Below are 20,618 nucleotides of genomic sequence, written 5' to 3'. Positions count from 1 at the left end.
AAAAATAACAAATTAATAACCAAGAAGAATACAAATTTAAAAAAAGAATATAGCATAACAAGTATTTACATAGCATTTACATTGTATCAGGCATTATAAGTAATCTAGAGATGATGTAAAATATACAGGAGGATGTGCAGAAGTTATATACAACTCCTACTCCATTTTATATGAGGGGTTTGAGCATCTAGGAATTTTGTTATCCACAGGGGTCCTGGAACCAATCCCCAGTGGATACTGAGGGATGACTATATTTCTAAAGACCCTATCCTTGGCTCTCTTCTCTAGCCATGTTCTTTATGTATTGTTGTTTTCAACCATTCCTAACTAACATTCTACATTCCTAACTTACAGGCACCTATGGTAGACTTTTTACATTGGTGGCTTCCTATTATTCACACCTTTGGATAGGTACTTCCCCCTTGAATTTAGACTATTCTTGTAACTAGCTCTAAATAACGGAATGTAACAGAAGTAAGACTGGGCTAGTCCTGGGATTAAGCCTTAAAAAGTCTTGGTAGTTTCAAGTTCTATATGTTTGTCCTGAGCCACCATGGAAAAATTCCAGCTAACTTGCAGGAGAGATCATCTGAGAAGACCATGTGGCAAGGAAAAGGCTCTAAGACTAAACGGAGAGAGAAAGCCAGCCAGCTCCACTGAACCCAGCCTCCAAATCATCTGCAAGTTCAAAACACCCACATCAATGACTTCTCGTGAGATCAGTAGAACTACTCTGCTGAGGGCAGCTCAGACTGCAAACTATAAGCAAATAAAATGTTTGCTCTTTCAAGCCACTAAGTTTCGGGGTGGCTTATTACGCAATAGATAAACAAAACTGCTGGAAAACTCAAAATCTAGATCTCCAGCCCTGACTATTACCTAGAGATCTGTATCTAAATTTCAAACTCTACATTTAAATTTCCACATAGATATCTTACCTACATTTGAAATTCAACATCTGCTAAAATAGAATTCAGTATCTCTCCTGTTTCTTATACAGAAAAATAGAAAATCTGTACTGTATAAGCTACTGATTTTAAAACTGTATTCCTCAAAATTCAAGGGCGCTGTGGAGTATTTCTACAGATTTCTTCATAATAGTTTCAATTACAGTTCTTAGTCCCATCACATTATGGGTCACAAAAACTATAAGCTAAAAAAAAAGTAAACAATTTTTGTTCAATTTAAAAAACACACATCAAGGCCAAAGTATGATGGAACACACTTCACCAATGTGACTTTGGGAAAGCAATTTTAACATTCTAAGCCAGAATCACCTCATGAAATACTAGGGTTTGGACTTAATCTCTGATTTTATAACAGAAATTTTCATTTGGATAAAGACATCTTGAACATACTAGAGGAACAGAGTGGAAACACAGTGTAGTGGTAAAGAGCACAAGAGCACAGATTCAAACCCTTGGAGAAGTGACAGAGCCGTAGGTTCTGCCAATTAACAGCTCTGTCACTTCTCTAAGCTCCAATTCCTTCATCTGTAAAATGGGGATAAAAATAAGTATATGGGGTTATTACAAAAATTAAATGAATCAATATTTCTAAAATAGAATACTTGGAATACTGTGTAACATACAGTTAAACTGTTAAATAAAAAACTTTAGGTCAAGTGCGGTGGCCCACGCCTGTAATCCTAGCACTCTGGGAGGCGGAGGCAGGTGAATCACTTGAGGTCAGGAGTTCGAGACCAGCCTGGCCAACATGGTGAAACCGCATCTCGACTAAAAATATAAAAATTAGCCAGGCATGGTGGTGGGTGCCTGTAATCCCATATACTTGGGAGGCTGAAGCAGGAGAATCACTTGAACCCAGGAGGTGGAGGTTGCAGTGAACCAAGATCGTGCCACCGCACTCTAGCCTGGGTGACAAAGCGAGACTCTATCTCTAAATAAATAAATAAATAACTTCTACTAATTTCTTCAAAAAATTATCACAGGTTTTTTATGTACCATATAATAAATGAACTGCTCTTTTCACAAATTTGATTCCTGAAATGTCTCTAAAAAACCCATGTTCAGTATAATTAGCTATCTAATGAACCAAGAGTTCTGCCTTTAGATCACTAGCATTTTAAATGAATATGGTTAGAGATACTTTATGTTACAGTAGGTTGCAATTAAAAATCTTAAAATGATGTGGACTCCTGGTAATCAGTAGCAATAATATGAAATCCTGTTTTCTCATATAGAAATGTTATCTTCACTTCAAATTTGATACATACATTAACTATGCTGCATCATTAAAACAACCGAAACATGTAATACTTACCACTGATTGTTTTAGGCTTTTTAGCTATATATTCCTTCCATTTTCTTGAACTGAGTTGGTTGGGAGGTGGAATCAGTATGTTACTAATGGTACATGGCAATACAAAAAGAGCACCAACCTGAATAAAACAGACCATATTTTTATTGATTGCACATTGAGATTCATTCTTGAATAGTGCCAGTTGACAATTTTCCACTCATATTTCACCAATGTAACATGCATTTAGTAATGCCCTCTCCCAAAAACTCCACTATAAAAACTAAAAAGTAAGAACAATGGCCCACCCTCTGTCAAAACAAAACAAAATAAAAGCTAAAATGCAGACAAACAAAAACAGCAAAGGCATTCAAAGCTACAGGCTTCCCTTTTCCACTGAGGTATACATCTCTGAAAAATACACAATATTTGCTTCAAGTTCAGGTTGTGGACATAATTTATTTGTATATATACAAAACAGTGTAAGGCTGAGTTCTAGCACCAAAATATTTTGTTATATTCAACCATCATCTTATAACTTCTTGACTAGATGTATTATTGTTCTAGTTTCAAAATTAAAATACATTTGAAGGCAACTCAGAAACTTTGTTCCTGGAAATCAGAGATTTAATGCTAATAGGTAAAAACTGAGGAGAAGACAATGAATTATATGCTAGAAAACATACAGCAACTTCTGACTGATTTATGAGCAAACTCTGCTTATTCATCTTTGTATTGCCAGGGCTGGGGATACAGATGCTTATTAAATATTGGTTCAACAAAATCACCATAATCTATTTAGGTAAATTCTCAGTTTATTAAGGGCTGAATAAAACAAACCACAGTTCTGAAAGCTATATTTTTCCTGTTATTTTAGAAATGCAGCTATATCAATCACATCTCAGTAAAAAGTATTTCATTTTAAAACTTTGGGAAAATTTAGGCAAAGCATTTGCCAAAGATCTTAAAGCTAGTGCAAAACCACTTTTAACTGTCCTATATTGATGGACTAGTTACATGAAATACATGATCACTAATATTTTAATGTTTTGTTGCTATTATTTTTACTTATGCATTCTTAATTCACAGATATAAAAATAAATATTAAGGTTGGTGCAAACGTAATTGTGGTTTTTGCACTGTTGAAATTTGCCGTTTGATATTGGAATATGTTCTTAAATAAGTGTGGTTATGTTATACATCATTTTAATGAGCATTTCTCGCTTTATGTTTTCTGGCTAATAACTTATTACTTGCTGTTTATGTTTATTTTAGACTATGGAAATGATGTTAGACAAAAAACAAATGTGAGTAATTTTCTTATTCGAGTTCAAAATGGGTCATAAAGCAGTGGAGACAACTTGCAACATCAACGCATTTGGCCCAGGAACTGCTAACGAACATGCAGTGCAATGGTGGTTCAAAAAGTTTTGCAAAGGAGACGAGAGCCTTGAAGATGAGTGGTATAGCGGCCGGCCATAGGAAGCTGACAAAAACCAATTGAGAGCAATGATCGAAGCTGATCCTCTTGCAACTACACAAGAAGTTGCAGAAGAACTCATTGTCGACCATTCTATGGTCATTTGGCATTTGAAGCAAATTAGAAAGCTCAATAAGGCCAGGCATGGTGGCTCATACCTGTAATCTCAGCACTTTGGGAGGCCGAGGCAAGTGGATCACCTGAGGTCAGGAGTTCGAGACCACCCTGGCCAATATGGTGTAACCTTGTCTCTACTAAAGATACAAAAATTAGCCAGGCATGGTGGCATACGCCTGTAGTCCCAGATACTTGGGAGGCTGAGGCAGGAGAATTGCTTGAACCTGGGAGGCAGAGGTTGCAATGAGCCCAGATTGAGCCACTGCACTCCAGCCTGGGCAACAGAGTGAGACTCTATCTCAAAAACAAAACAAAAAAATAAATAAATAAACCCCCAAAAGCTCAATAAGTAGGTGCCTCATAAGCTGAGCAAAAATTTAAAAAATTGTTGTTTTGAAGTGTCATCTTCCCTTATTCTACACAACAACGAACAATTTCTCGATCAGATTGTGTGATGAAAAGTGGGCGATGACTAGCCTGGTGGTTGGACCGAAAAGAAGCTCCAAAGCACTTCCCAAAGCCAAACTTGCACTAAAAAAAAGGTCATGGTCACTGTTTCCTGGTCTGCTGCCATTCTGATCCATGACAGCTTTTTGAATCCTGGTGAAACCATTACATCTAAGACTTATGCTCAGCAAATCGATGAGATGCACCAAAAACTGCAACACCTGTAGCCGGCATTGGTCAACAGAAAGGGCCCAATTCTTCTCCATGACAACGCCTGACCACACGTCACACAATGAATGCTTCAAAAGTTGAATGAACTGGGCTACAAAGTTTTGCCTCATCCATCATATTCACCTGACCTCTCACCAACTGACTGCCACTTCCTCAAGCATCTCAACAACTTTTTGCAGGGAAAATGCTTCCACAGGCAAGGCAGGATGCAGAAAACGCTTTCCAAGAGTTCGTAGAATTCCAAAGCATGGATTTTTATACTACAGGAATAAAAAAACTTAATTATCATTGGCAAAAATGTGTTGATTGTAATGGTTTCTATTTTTATTCATAAAGATGTGTTTGAGCCTAGTTATAATGACTTAAAATTCATGGTCTGAAACCATAATTACTTTTACACCAACCTAATATGTTAGGAACAAAATAAGAAAGGTTAAAAGAAATATGCTTATTTTTCTTTATTATTATAGCCATAATCTTTTTAAAGTCAAATATATTTTATGTAGTTAAGAATTAGAAATTAAAAATAAAAATATTTAGCAATAGAAAATAATCATTAAATATAAAAAATATATCTAATTTTCTCGACACTAAATCCTAGTTCTTTCTTGCATACATAAGACTTCATAACCCAAAAAATGTGACCAGACTGTACGGTTAAAAAGGTGGACAAGGCTGTAATGTGAGTATGCCAGACTGAGTCCCAGTTATAGCTTTCTCAACATTTTAGGGATGCTAAATGCAGTTCAATGCATTACTTATAACCTAATATAAATGTGGTGGGACCCATTAGCTGAAATGGCCACACTTTTGAGACAGACTGAAATTGACTAGACATTTGCTACAAATATGAAAATAAGTATTTCTAAATCACACAAACTATAATTCCCTACAAAATAAAATTGTCAGTTGTTTATAATGCATTCTTAATACACTTAGGTGCTGATAACTTGTTCTCACCCATACACTAATCATTAGATAACCTCTGAGAGACTTGAGGATGATCTGTTCAAGCTATCATTCTATCTCCAGAATATAAACGCCAAATAACATTTCAAATCTGAGTTTCAAAATCTTTTTTTTGAGACAATCTCACCCTGTTGCCCATGCTGGAGTGCAGTGGTGTGATCTCTGCTCACTGCAACCTCTGCCTCCCTGGTTCAAGTGACTCTCCCGCCTCAGCCTCCCAAGTAGGCGCATGCCACCACGCCTGGATAATATTTTCTATTGTTTTAGTAGAGGCGGGGTTTCACCATGTTGCTCAGGCTGGTCTTGGACTCCTGACCTCAAGTGATCCACCCGCCTTGGCCTCCCAAAGTGGTGGGATTACAGGCGTGAGTCACTGCACCTGGCCTGAGTTTCAAAATCTTGATTAAATCTTTTCAGTAGGTCCTCTCCAACAAGCAGTCATTGTGGAAATCATGTTTCTAGCTTGCAAATTCCTCTCTCTGAAGAAATATTTCCCAGCCAGAAGATTAGTGAACATCATAACTCCCTAACAATCCTATCTTGTCTTTTCCTAATCTAGCTTAATTATTAGTAAAATAAGCTTTACTCCAAGAAGTTTTTACTTATATTCTGGGGCTAATCATAGTTACATAGATAAATAATTTGTTTAAGCTAAGATGCTGACTGAAGATCACACAAAGCAATAGAATTTAAGCACCATGAAAGTTTCTTGAGAAAGGGCCTGTCCATCTTATTCTATCCAATATTACAAACAAGCATCTGGCAGATAGCAGCAGTAAAAACATTTTTAAAAAAATTAATTGTTTAATAAATGAAACCCAAGGTATTTATTTATTTATTTTTTGAGACGGAGTCTCGCTCTGTTGCCCAGGCTCGAGTACAGTGGCGTGATCTTGGCTCATTGCAACCTCCACCTCCTGGGTACAAGTGATTCTCCTGCCTCAGCCTCCCGCATAGCTGGGACTACAGGCAAGCGCCTCCTTGCCCGGCTAATTTTTTGTATTTTTAGTAGAGATGGGGTTTCACCATGTTGGCCAGGCTGGTCTCAAACTCTTGACCTCAGGTGATCCACCTGCCTCGGCCTCCCAAAGTGCTGGAATTAAAGGCGTGAGCCACCGCGCCCAGCTGAAACCCAAGTTATAAAGCACTAGATTTCAAAGAACTGGTATGTAATTAAACACTTTTTCAAAAATGTGAAAAATGACCAGGTGCAGTGGCTCACACCTGTAAAGCCAGCACTTTGGGAGGCCGAGGTGGGTGGGTCACTTGAGGTCAGGAGTTCAAGACCAGCCTGGCCAACATGACGAAACCCTGTCTCCACTAAATATACAAAAAAAAATTAGCCAACCATGGTGGTGTATGCTTGTAGTTCTAGGTAGTTGAGTGGCTGAGCCGGGAGAATTGCTTGAACCCGGGAGACGGAGGTTGCAGTGAGCCAAGATCACACCATTGCACTCCAGCCTGGGCAATAGAGCGAGACTCCGTCTAAAAAAAAAAAAAAAAAAAGAGTAAAAAACAAATCATAACTCAATGTTTAAGAAAAATAAATTACTTCATATTTAGATTTGTTTTCTAAGTTACATAATATATGGCTTCAAAAATAATCCCTTTTGCTGCATTGAACTGGGAACATAGTTATAAAGTCTCTATTTCTTACTAATAAAGTATGTTGTAATATTTTACAATCATGGTTTGAGAAGAAAAAATGATAATCTAATACAACAAATTTAAAACAAAACAACTGAAAATATATTATTAAACATTAATAGTTTAGGGTGCTTCTAGGATTAGTGTTGCCTATCTTCAATAACTAGATGGACTAATGCTTATGTTACACCTGTGTTAAACTATAGGTACAGATCTCATTTTGACTTGAAATAGTCTCTATAAATTAGCCAGGCATGGTGGCACATGCCTGTAATCCCAGCTACTTGGGAGGCTGAGGCAGGAGAATCACTTGAACCCGGGAGGCAGAGGTTGCGGTGAGCTGAGATCGCGCCACTGCTCTCCAGCCTGGGTGACAGAGCGAGACTCCGTCTCAAAAAAAAAAAAAAAAAAAAAAGTCTCTATAAGATTTCTACAAATTTCTCTGTAAAATTTCTATAAATTTCATCATACCTTCAAATTACTTAGAGAATATCTAATATCTAGCGCTTTATACTTTTAAGGAAACTGCTTCACATATGTGTGTCCATCATTTGGGCCACATAAACTTCAAAGACAATAAAAAATTAGTTAGCAACCATCATTTATATCATACTTGGTAGTTTATAAAATACATTTCAATTTGGTTTTTATTACAACTCTGAAATAGGTAACAGAGGGATTATTATTTCCAGTTTACAATATTAAGAGCTGTAAGCCAGTGAGTGGCATAGCTATGGCTTAAAGTCAAGTTTTCTAAAAAACATGCTCTTCTATTTAAGACTTTCTACTATACCATCTATATTCCTTTCCTCCCTTATTTGGCAATATAGATAATTAATGATAAATAACAATTTTCTCAATCCATACAAGGAAGCATCTCCAAAAAATTAGGTGACTGGACAGGGATATACAGAGAGCTACTTGGCTACCTGGATTAAAATAGAAGCAGGGTATTTTTTATTCTCAGTGCACTTAAAAAATATATACTAATTCATAAGCTGTCTCTGCAAATAGTTTGGAGAAATGTATGGCCTTATTAATCTCTATCTAAACTAGGGTCTCTTGACTTATTCCCTATCTCAGGCTGTTTATTTCTTCATAATTCTTATTATGTCTGTAGTTATTTATTTTCTGTTGGTCCCCTAAAATGTAAGTTCCACAAATACAGAAGCTTCTTCTGTACACTTCATTACTGGGTTCCCGAAATCTAGTATAGTACCTCATACACAGTAGAATATATGTTGGATAAATGATAAAAGATAAATTTTAAAATTTCAAAATTTAGTAAATTAGTTATTCTTAGAGGATGAAAGCCAGGTTAATATTGGTAAAGGCCACTTCATCAAATAAATACTTTGTCGTCCTATTCAAAGGACTATTAAATTTATGGAAAAAGAGGCCAGAAGCCAAAATTTTAAGTTACTATATAGTCAAATATACATCTTAAGGTCAAAATCATTTTTCCTTTACTATATCGATTTTCTATAGGAATTATAACCAAGACTTGATTTTAGCACCATAGGGAAACTGTTATAATTATAATAATCACTTTCTCCCTGCAGGACTATTTGCTAGTCTACTTGTTATTAAAACAATAAGAAAATGTAATGTAAGTACTGCCAATAAAGATTTTGTGCATTAAAAATTGTTTTCACAGAAACATAACAGTTGAATAAATAACTAGAAAAAAAGCAAACTTTCACTTTTTCCTATTAGAAACTGAATTTGATTTCAAATAGATGAGTCCACTTAAAATTCTTTATATTGTAATTTTTTTAAAGTTAAAAATATACCAATTTTACATCATTATATATACAAAATAACTGTTAAAGTAGCCATAAATCTCCTAAACATCATCAGAATTTAGAAAGAAAAATTGAAAACTCCCAAATGACAATTTAGTAGAACTTTAGCTTTTTCCACTTTCATCCCCTGCCCTACAATGAGAAAAAGAATGCAAGTATATGAATGTCTTCTCATAAAATTGAAATCGCATGTTGAAGAAGTAGGTTAACAATAACATGTTATAAAATTTTAAAACTTTAAAGCAATTACCAGTCATAAAGCTTATTTCTGAAAATATCTCCTAAAAACAAAATGTCACTTATGTTTGCAGAGTACTTTTACAGTTATTATGAAAAGTCCAAAGTATCTTAATATGAGTTAGGACCAAAATTATCCTATATTACATTAAAGAAACCAAGTCATCAAGCAAACAGATTAATAAGTTACATTCCCTTTTCTTACACATCCTTAAATGGCAAGTATAAAAACAAACAAACAAAAAACCCCCAAGAAACCCTCAATACCTTGCTACACAGAGAAGAAATCTGCTCCAACAGCAACACAGAATTCTGTTTGGTACTGTTTGTCAATCCTCTGTACTAAGGAGTTAAAGAAATGATGTAATGGTACCCATGAAACAATGTACTCCTTAAAATAAGTTTCATTATTTCAATTCTTCCACAGTTGCTTAAATTCATCTATTAAAAAATTTAACTGTAGCAGTTAACAATTACGCCTTTCCCTAAGGATAAGTATTTTTCCAATTATTTGTTTGATTCTGAAAATATGCTAAGAAACAGTGCTACTATATAGAGCATTACTATAAACTATAAGAACAAGAAATTTATAAAAACTGTAGCTCCTAAATAAAAATTCAAAAACACTATGCTAGTGTTTCATTTCCAGCCAATAACAATTTCTTTTTATATAAAATGTTCTGTTCTTAGGTGTATTTCTAAACATGCTTATATATTTTTAAAAGAGAGTTTAAAATATGTTGAATATATTTGCAGATACATGTGATACCATTTATATTTACTTAAATACATAAAATGATACATCAGCTGACTGATTCTTAGGTTTCTTCATGCTGATGGCAGGAGAAACATTTAAACATTTTTTAAGTTTATAAATTACTTGTTTTATTTTCCACAGATTCCTAACATTTCTCCCTCCTCTCTACACCATATACCAGGAAGTCCTCTGCCTATTCTAAAAGCATAAATACAGTATTTGAGGGAAGATTTTTTTTTTCAAGTTGTAGAACTTTTCTTAACATAATGGTAGCAAAAAGTATACTGAATATTATGTAAAAACACGGCCAAACATCTAAGTGTTGGGTGGTACCATGAAAACAGTTTACAGTGCACTTTGCAAACCTTTTTAATGCAGCAACTTTTTGCAAGTGACATTTTATATGGAAACCCAATATTTAGGGTAGAACAGGTGCTGCTCTGGTTGCAGTAGGAGGGGGCCAAGAGCCATGCCCACTCAACTTATCTTTCAATCCCATTATCTGAAGAACTCAGTCCTCGACTTTCCTTGGAAGATAGTTTGAAAACCATTGGTCTAAGACAAGAATCTAATATAAGATAAAAACATCAAATAGCTTCTGACCTACAAGCTGCTAACAGATGAGGACAGAGAAAAGAAGTATTAATAATAGATTATATCTGAAAGTAACGTCTAGTTATACTGCCAGGTAGCATGCTGGCTAAATGGTTCTCAACAGTAATGTATAATGGATAAAAAATTTTTTAAACTACCTATTATGCTTTTTACTACAATGTACATTACCACTCCAACTACCCGAACCTGAATTCCTTTTCCTCTGCGAAAATGGCTCACCTCATGTTATCTCAACTAGTGACACCAGTTTCAACATAGGGAATCAACTACACTCTCTGGCCTTCTCACTTTCTCCGCATGTAATAAATAAATCATAATACCGTGTTGATTTTACATCTTTAACACATCGTGTACTTTTCCTGGCTCTCCATTCCAAATGCCACTTGTTTAGTTCGAGCTTTGCTCAGGTTTCCAAAATCCTACCAGCATGATCTAAAATTTACTTTTCATTAAGCTATGTCTGGCTTATAATCCTTGTATGATTCCTCATTATCTTTAGGATAGAATTTAACCCCAATCATGATACGTAAGGTCTTTTAGGACCTGATTAATCTGAAAAGGCTCTCCAATCTGATCACTTAGCAACTGCCCTCAACACCCCCAAGCCAAAAAACCACTACTCTTTAATGATTCTAGACTACAAACAGTTCTCAGCTGGGTAACGTTCTCCTACACCTTTGTATATGTTATCTTTTCTGCAGCAAAGAACTTTCAATAAGAAAATAATGAGTATTTTGATTTAGGCTGACATAATCCAAAGTCATTCATCTGACAATATTGAGTGCTTACTCTATGCTATGATATATTGCAGTTACAGACTTCTTCAGCAGAAACATATTGAGTAAAACACAGAAGTCATGGAGATGTATTCCTGGATTTCAGGAAAAGGGAAATTATTTCCAAAAAGCATTAAAACTATAAAAAATAATAGTAAAGTTAACAAAAGCACATAAAATATATACGTGGTGGTGTCTGGGCAGTGGGTGGGAAGGACAAAGTTGCAGTTAATGCTAGGCTAGGTGTGAGAGTAGATCAGTCCTGTGCTCAAGCAGAGAACATTATAATTGCATTAAAGAAGCAAGGCTCAATCACTTCTGTATTATTTCCATAGCCCTATCCATAGAAAAGTCTCAACAATACTGAACAAAAATAAAGATGCTTGCATAGGGAGGAAGATTTCTGATAAAATAGGTATAGGATCCAGGTGGTGGGAAAAGCAAGAACTTCCTTCCCCAGCAACTCCAAAAATAAGGAGTCCAGCAGCCTACTTGAACATCAACATTAAAACAGTGAATATAATGAAAAAGATATACCTAACATGTATATTTACCTGACAATACCAGAACATTCTACCTGACACAGAAAATGTAATCTAAAATGAACATGTAAATGAAAGGATACAACTCAAATTCAATATCCGACATATAGCAGGAGGGTAGATCTGATAATTTTATCATCTGCACAAATTCTAAAGCAGGGCCATAATAATGGAAAACCTAGAAAAGAAATTAAAATTGTGTAATATTTAAATACCATAAACAAAAGTAAACAAATTAGTGATTAAGGGTTTAAAACTTTAAAATGGATCTTAAAAAGCAACTTTTTACACATTAAGCATGCCTAGCATTTAATCCTCTATAGCAGACCAGAATTTCTTCAATTTCAATTCTACCTTTCAGGGTACAGAAACAGACATGGAGATCACTTAGTAACCAGGAAGAGCTTTCACAGGAGAAAATAAGTATGGGAAGAGGTAAGCAACAGAGGACAAGCGTTCTCAACTTTTGCTGTTTATCTTCAACGAGACAGACAGGTGATACAATAGGCTATAGTGTTGAAGAAACAAATTAGCAACCTACCTCTGCAGGTGGAATCTGCAGACTAAAAAAGTGAAAGAAAAGACACTCCAGGATGAACTTAGGCTGAGTGGTACACTGACATTTAGAAAAAAAAAATTCTAGTGAAAAGACTAAATAAATTACAGAGAGAGATAGTGAAGCCAGCATGTGCTAATTAACATAGAAAGCTCCATTCAGAAAAAATAAAATTTCGGTACTGTATTTCTTGGGTAAAGCCTAAAACCAAATTAGAGTTTGTTACTGAAGGGAGGCTATTTCAGTAGTTGGAGCCACGGTGCTTCACATGAAAGGCAAAGAAAAGAGCACACTTCTTGAAGAGGTTACACAAAGTTTTAGACTTGTAAAAAGCAGAGTAATTTCACCATACATGATTAAGTGTATATATATCTATAATCATAAACATATGTGTTTATACAGTGTGTGTGTCTATACATATACAGAGAGAGAATATGAATTTTACATTATTGAAGAAGTTGTACCCTAAGATTCTCTTCAACAGTAGCAAAAATTTGGACACATTATTCATACTTGAAGAAAAGTTGAGGTCATGAATCTTACGATTCTAATTTTTAGAAAAGAATTTAATATTCCTGTGAAAGATGGCCATAGTAAGTTACTTAAAGTAAGCAATTCTAAACAAATATTGAGAAATGAGTTCAAATCAAATGATACCCTCTTTTTGTACCACCCTTTGATTAGAAAATATTAACCATCAATTTGACATCCTTTAACTTCATGCCCACTGTTTTCCATGTTCTTAAATTAGTTCTTTTAAAGTGAATTCTAAGGTACCTTCATATAAATATCTCTTCTTAGGTTATTTTTCCAATGTTAAAAAGCCAACTAAGCCTTTTCCTAGTTATTATATTTTATAATTACTTGCATTTTAAGAATAAATGTATAGGAGATACAGGGCAAGAACTGATACTTCTTACACTATAAGTTAAGCATATGTCAGGTACTATGTCACATATTAAACTCTCACCTCATTTAATCCTCATAACTTTGTAAGATAAGTGTGTTACTATTGCCTCCACTTCACAAATGAGTTAATCAATCTACCCAAGGTTATAAACAACTTATAGGTGACACAGTTAGGTTCCAAACCCAGGTTTACCTAACATCAAAACATATCCTCTTTTCTCTATGTCATATTCTCTCCAAACTGAGTCTTAGAAAGGTCACATAGTAAAGTCCAAACCAAAGGTGGTTTCAGGACTATACACATTTAGTAGCATTACATTTTTTTAAACATCTAAAACAATGACACTTTCACCAAAATTTAATGTTGATGACATAGTATAACTTAAGTACTTAATTATATTAAAAATTATGCTAGTGAGCACACTTAAGCACATATATTAGTAATATTAAGTCAAGATTCAAACATATTTTATAGGAACAAAAATACACATGAATGATCACACAAAAAAATTAAACACGATTACCTTTGGCAAAATATTCTTATCCTTTGATGGTATGATCTTTTTGGCAAGGAAGTCAGTATTTAAATTAGAAGTACTAAAATTCTTAAGTGTGACTCCCTTTAAACAAAATTCAGGAAAACTAATTTCAAATCCAAACTGAAAAGAGACCAAGAAAACACAGTTACAAGTATCATGAATAATGCTATAAAGATTAATACATCTTATTACAATGTAAAAGTTGAGGGGAAATCCATGTATAAATTTATTTTTGATTCCTCAGCTCAAAAGTGTGCTTCTCACATTTAGGTACACATCCTGTTTTAACTTAGACATCAATTTTTCAGGTTTTCATGAAAAGCTCTCGTTGGTCCTTCACCAGCTGGCAAGAGTATGTTAAGCTCATTCTATGCAGCCACAGGACCAAACAACCTCTTTTGCATTGTTCAATATCTGGCTTCCTACCAGTCTGTAAGTTATGCAAAGACAGAAGCTGTCTGTCTTGTTCCTTTTTTTTTTTTTTTTTGGCTTTGAGATGGAGTTTCACTCTTGTGGCCCAGGCTGGAGTGCAGTGGCGCAATCTTGCCTAACTGCAATCTCCACCTCCTGGGTTCAAGTGATTCTCCTGCCTCAGCCTCCTGAGTAGTTGGGATTACAGGGACCTGCCACCATGCCCAGCTAATTTTTTGTATTTTTAGTAGAGATGGGGTTTTACCATGTTGGCCAGGCTGGTCTTGAACTCCTGACCTCGGGTGATCCACCTGCCTCAGCCTCCCAAAGTGCTGGGATTACAGGTGTGAGCCACCGCACCTGGCTCTATCTTATTCTTTACTAGATCCTTAGCACAGTGTCTCACATAGTTTGTCTTTGATAAATGTTGCTGATAAGATCAATTGCTGCAGAAGTAGTAATAGTAAGGATGCTAATAATAGTAATGGTAGGCACAACAACAGTGATAGCTAATGCTTACTGAGTGGTTACTCTGTGCTTTAAATAATTTAATTCTCACAAAAATCTATGCGATAGGAACTATTATCATCATCTTACAGATGAAGACAACTGCAGCACCAAGAGGCTAAGTGTTGCACAACATGCTACGTTAAACTAGAAAGAAAAAAGAGTTGGGATTTGATTGTAGGCAATATAACTCTAGAATCTATGTCCTTAATCACCATGATGCCTCTTGACTAAAAAGCTGTTCTCTACCAAAAAAAGTGATTTCAAGTTTTAAATGCATCCAGTGGAGATACGAACATTTAATTTCCTATTCAAGAGAATAAAAGAATCACATGAAAAGAACTCTGCCATTATCTCTCTGTATGTAAGCATGCAGTTTCAGAAAACATACAAAAGCAATTCTAGCAAACTGTATCTTCCACTCTTCCACTTGGCTATGTGGGGTTTTTTTGGGTTTTTTTTTTTTTTCTTGAGACGGAGTCTCACTCTGTCACGCAGGCTGGAGTGCAGTGGCGCGATCTCAGCTCACTGAAACCTCCGCCTCCCGGGTTCACACCATTCTCCTGCCTCATTCTCCTGCCTCAAGAGTCCCAGCCTCTTGAGTAGCTGGGACTACAGGCACCTGCCACCACGCCCGGCTAATTTTTTACATTTTTAGTAGAGACGAGGTTTTACCGTGTTAGCCAGGATGGTCTCGATCTCCTGACCTCGTGATCTGCCCGCCTTGGCCTCCCAAAGTGCTGAGATTATAGGCGTGAGCCACCCACTGCGCCCAGCCTATGTGGGATTTCTTTATACTAAAACATTTGCAGAGAAAGTTCACCTGCAGATTTAACCTGTCTGAGATTAGGATGAGCAAACATGCAAATCAACAAGACAAATCCAGCCACATTGATTCCTGTTGTCTAATCAGAGATTTTATTAAACCATTATTAAGGGTGAATTAAAAAGGAAGAAAAATTTCTAGTAACTAGTGTAACAAAACTTTAGAGGAACTCAAAAGTCTACTCATGCTCCCATGCTACCCTAAATAAACATTAAGAAACTTTCTTAGTTTAGTTTTGCCTATCTACAAAAATACATAAATTACTATGAACACTTATTTCAAAATGGACATAACTTACAAAACCCACAAACATTCTTTCATAGTAAGAGACGTCAAAATGAAATAGAAATTTCATAGAAATTCAGGATTAGAAGAGTCCACCTAATACAACATTCTCATCTTATAATTGAGAAATCTGGGGTCCAGTAAGGTTAAAAAAATTTGTTCAAAATCTGAGGGCTGGTTAATAAACAGCAAAGATCACCTAAGGTAGTATTATGGGAAGACAATATGCTCTAAGTAGTTTTTTCTAGTAGTTTACACATGCAATAAAATAAAGCAGTTTGGATAAACAACATGAACTCGATTAAAAATTCTATATTTTAAAAGAACATTACATTCTGGAAACAGCACTTGAATATAATCACATTATTATGTGATTAAATTAAAGTTAATTAAAATCAAATAAAAATTCAGTTCATTGGTGGAACTACTCACATATAAAGTGCTCAGTAGCAATAAGTGGTTTGTAGGCTAGTGTATTAGCACAGATATAGAACATTTAATTATTGCAGAAAGTTCTACTTAGTGCTATTCTAGAATATCTTTATAAGGTACATTTTCATTAAGATTTATTTAAATATCTGTGTTGTAAATAAAATTGAAAGGCCTACTTGGCAAACTGTGAATAATCCATTTACCTTTCTTTCCCATATCTGTATTTTCCCCCTCCATAATTCCTTTGAGTCAATAACATTTCTGAGATCTTCTAAAGATACAACATTAGCAGAAAGGTATTCTGCAATTTTCTGACAGTTTCTATAAAAAAAAGATTACAACAATTAAACACAGGGTTTTATATTTCACTGATTTAATCATTATAGTTAACTACAAGCCTAAGAGGCAAAATTGCAAAATTTATATTGCTGTATTTTTCCTATTAATATGAAACACCCATTAAGTCAGTCTCTAAGTGCATTGCTGACACATGTTCATTTAGTCCCAACATCCTCACAAATTTAGAGTAATTATCTTTAGTACTAAGGATGAAGAAATAGACTTTCCTCTTACTATTGGCTTAAAGGTGTCAGATGTACATAAACACACACACAGGCACAATGTCACTTCCTTATCTTCAAAAAGAGAACTGCTCTCCTATATTGTTCCCATACATCTTTGCATGGAATTCTGTAACGCACTTACCACAGACTTTCTTGACTGTTAGCATTCCTGTTTCTCCCTGCACTTCAATGAAAAAGATCATGTCTTCTCACTTTCTTAACTTACAAGCATCTATTGCTATGCTTGCCATAAAGGTATTGCTCAATAAACATTCGTTGAATGAAAACAAATCATGAAGTTATTAAATCCAACTGAATGTTTAAGGATCAAAATTGTAATATACAATTAATCCTTGCTAGAATATCATAAAACACAACAGTGTATATTTATTCCTACATTGGCACATAACAGAAAACCAAATACAACATGACAAATCCAGTGTATCTATGTTCAAAAGCACACAGTGTGCTTATAGAATTAATCCTCAATAATGGTTGTAAAACAGCATCAATAATATTTACTAAAAACTTAAATATCTCAGAAACATAAATATAAAATATGAAACATCTAGATTCTTCTCAATACACAAATTTGCAATCATGGTATAACATAGAATTTTATGTTGTCATATTAAAATAATTTTCAAACGCTGAGTCTGAAAAGAGAATAGTATGTTAATTGTGAAAACAGACAAGGCAGACAATAATCAAATATGAACAAAGAAGCTTACATTTCACAATGATTTCCTGCTATAGTGATCTTTGCTGAATACCATTCTCTCAAATGTTTTAATGCTCCTACAGTAGGTAAATAGTCTTTCAATTTAGGAGGATCTTTGTCAGAAAGCAACAGTATTATATCTACCATTGCTCTACCTAGAAAGAGAAAAAGGCATTTTTGTAATTTTTAAAAAGTTAGATCTGAAATGTCTCAAAATAGTACCCTGAAGAACTGAATTTTATGTTTATTTAGAAAAATTAGTTTTATATTTATTTAGAAGACAAAGGAAGCTTTTAGTTTTAATTTCTGAAATTCTCCAAAACAATATACGCCCTTAGGAATTCAAACTTTTTAAATGTTCATCATTTATTGAAAGCCATGTTATCTTGAAATAGCTAGCATATACTAGAAAACAATAAACTATATCATAATTACTTGCCAATTCTGCAGCAGTGGTTAATTACACACATCACTCTCATGATCATCAATGCTATTGTACTCAACAGAGAAAAAAAAAACCTGTGCAATTTCATTATATTTTTCTAAACATAATTTTGTTATCCAAAAGAGAATGAATAAGTGCAAAACTGTAATGTTCAAATAAATGATGTCTCTTTTATAAAGGACAATAAAACACTCTGAAAACCAATTATACTGACATCATCATTGGATCCTGAGAAAAAATAACTTCACAAAACTTTAAATTTTATAAAATTATACATTTCCTGAAGGACTACAAAAATCAAAATGAAACAAACTGGAGATAAATTTGATAATGAAAGTATTCTAATTTGCCAAAACAACTATGTAATATTTCAGTGCATACTTTGACCTCAACACATTTCATTTTAAAAGTTGATACGTTTGTCAACTCATTCAGTTATTTTTCTATGTGGGGCTTTTTGTACTAATATATGATCTCCTTGAATATAGAGATCTGGCTGACTATAAGCTAAAAGCTCCTTTATGTTAATCACAGATGCTTTATTCATCATGGTACACTTGGCTCCTAGTACAAATATTTACTTACTAATGACCTTCAATAAAGCATTCAGAAAAGAATACTCTTCAAAGTATTTGCGGATACCAACTGTACCAAATATTAGATGACAGCTACTTGATTAACACAAAGGAAAAAAGAAAAAAACCAGTTTTAGGAATATTATGATACAGTATGTCACAGGTATTCTTTCCACTATGGGGAAAAAAATAGGTTCTATAAAAAAATGCTGAGGAAACACTTTCTTTTATGGTATGACATTCCATTTGACAATGCATATAGTAACTTCACCATAAAAGAATGTTATCCAAATCATCAAGGCTAAATAATCTCCTTTTTAAAGAGCTGTTTATAGGATTAGTCTTCTATAGAACATACTCTGAAAAGCAACAGTCTGTAGCAGGAAGATTCTTCTTCAGCAATAACTAAAGAAACAGAGATAGTTATTTAATGTCCAAAGTTCTAATTTTTGCCTAACTAAATGAAAACAATGAAAAGAACTGCTACATCTCGGTAATGTACTCCCATGGATACATTCTGTATCAACTTCAATTAAAAATTGTTTTGCATTTTTTAATTTAAAGATTAGAGTGAGAACACTAACATAAAGAACAAATTTATCATTTATTCATAAAGTGTAATAAGATAAGATACAAATTATTGAAAGCAGTCATAAAATATTACCAGGAGCAGGAAGCTTGTCTGACAGCTGATGCAAATTTTCTGCAGCTTCTTCATAGAGACTAAAATAAAAGGGTAAGTTAGGGAAAGAAAACCCCATAAATATATTTATATATAATCATAATAGGTAATATTAACTAAAAAGATTGTTGTACAGACACTGTTAAACATGTTAGATGTATAATCTCATTTGATCTTTATGACAATTCCAGGAGGTACTACTATAATACTATTATCTCAACTGTAAATAACTTCCCTAAAGTTACATAATTAGTATGTATGGAAGCTAGGATTCAAACCCTGAGTACAAGTTCTTACCCACACCCCAAAAACAATCAAAAAAAAGGAAATAAAACTCCCTAAATTATAACTAGCATATTAAATATAAATCATAACTAACAGACCAAACTTTTTTTGGAACCTTTTATTTATTTATTTATTTTTGGTTTTTGGGTTTCTTTTGAGACAGGGTCTGACTCTGTCACGCAGGCTGGAGTGCAGTGGCATGATCACAGCTCACTGCAGCCTCAATCCCCCAGGTTCAGGAGGTCCTCCCACCTCAGCCTCCTGCATAGCTGGGATAGCTGGGACTACAAGCACACACCACCATGCCTGGCTAATGTAGAGACGGGGTTCTGCCATGTTGCCCAAGCTGGTCTCAAACTCCTGGGCTCAGGTTATCCGTCTGCCTCAGCCTCCCAAAGTGCTGGCATTACAGGCATGAGCCACTGCACCCAGCCATTTTTCTGAATCTTAAAAGTAAGAAAATGCTAAGTGTTTAATAAAAAAGGACATGATTTTTCTCTGAATGGTATTTAACAGTCTTGACTAAAGAATATGACGCCCTCTTCAGATTCTTCAAAACTTATTAGTTTTATCTATATGATGCAATTTTTTTCTCAAAAAAGTTTATTATATAGCATAAAGGTACTTAAATCCTTTACTATAAACCCACCGTCTTAGAAACTTAAGGCATCTTATGTAAACTCTAGTTTTCAGGCTCCCCCTTGTGGAAATAATTATTAGGTCACTTATCAGAAACTTTTATACTTGCCTTTTCTTTTTTTTTTTTTTTTTTTGAGACGGAGTGTTGCTCTGTCGCTCAGGCTGGAGTACAGTGGCAGAATCTCAGCTCACTGCAACCTCCGCCTCCCGGGTTCAAGCAATTCTCCAGCCTCAGGCTCCCGAGTAGCTGAGATTACAGACACCTGCCACCACGCCCGGCTAATTTTTTCTATTTTCAGTAGAAAAGGGGTTTCACCATGTTAGCCAGGCTGGTCTTGAACTCCTGACCTTGTGACCCACC

The 20,618-nt window shown here is 34.7% G+C and overlaps 1 protein-coding gene across 4 annotated transcripts in view; it reads right to left on the bottom strand.

The window, feature by feature from the left end:
- Positions 1-20,618, bottom strand: part of MTBP (MDM2 binding protein) — a 78,218-nt gene that overhangs the window by 50,416 nt on the left and 7,184 nt on the right. For all 4 annotated transcript variants that reach the window (XR_928318.3, NM_022045.5, XM_011516962.3 and 1 more), the window contains exons 5-11: positions 19,316-19,374; positions 17,642-17,786; positions 16,551-16,668; positions 13,872-14,006; positions 11,966-12,060; positions 9,460-9,529; positions 2,284-2,401 (exon numbers count right to left, since the gene is read on the bottom strand). Coding sequence is in view for 3 of the 4 variants with exons in the window: in NM_022045.5 (NP_071328.2) it covers positions 2,284-2,401; positions 9,460-9,529; positions 11,966-12,060; positions 13,872-14,006; positions 16,551-16,668; positions 17,642-17,786; positions 19,316-19,374 (740 nt within the window). In the remaining variant the exon portion in view is untranslated. The remainder of the gene's footprint in view (positions 1-2,283; positions 2,402-9,459; positions 9,530-11,965; positions 12,061-13,871; positions 14,007-16,550; positions 16,669-17,641; positions 17,787-19,315; positions 19,375-20,618) is intronic.

The sequence above is a fragment of the Homo sapiens genome, chromosome 8, assembly GCF_000001405.40.
Source record: "Homo sapiens chromosome 8, GRCh38.p14 Primary Assembly".
NCBI classification, from domain to species: Eukaryota; Metazoa; Chordata; class Mammalia; order Primates; family Hominidae; genus Homo; species Homo sapiens.
This window is presented reverse-complemented; position numbering and strand designations above follow the sequence as displayed.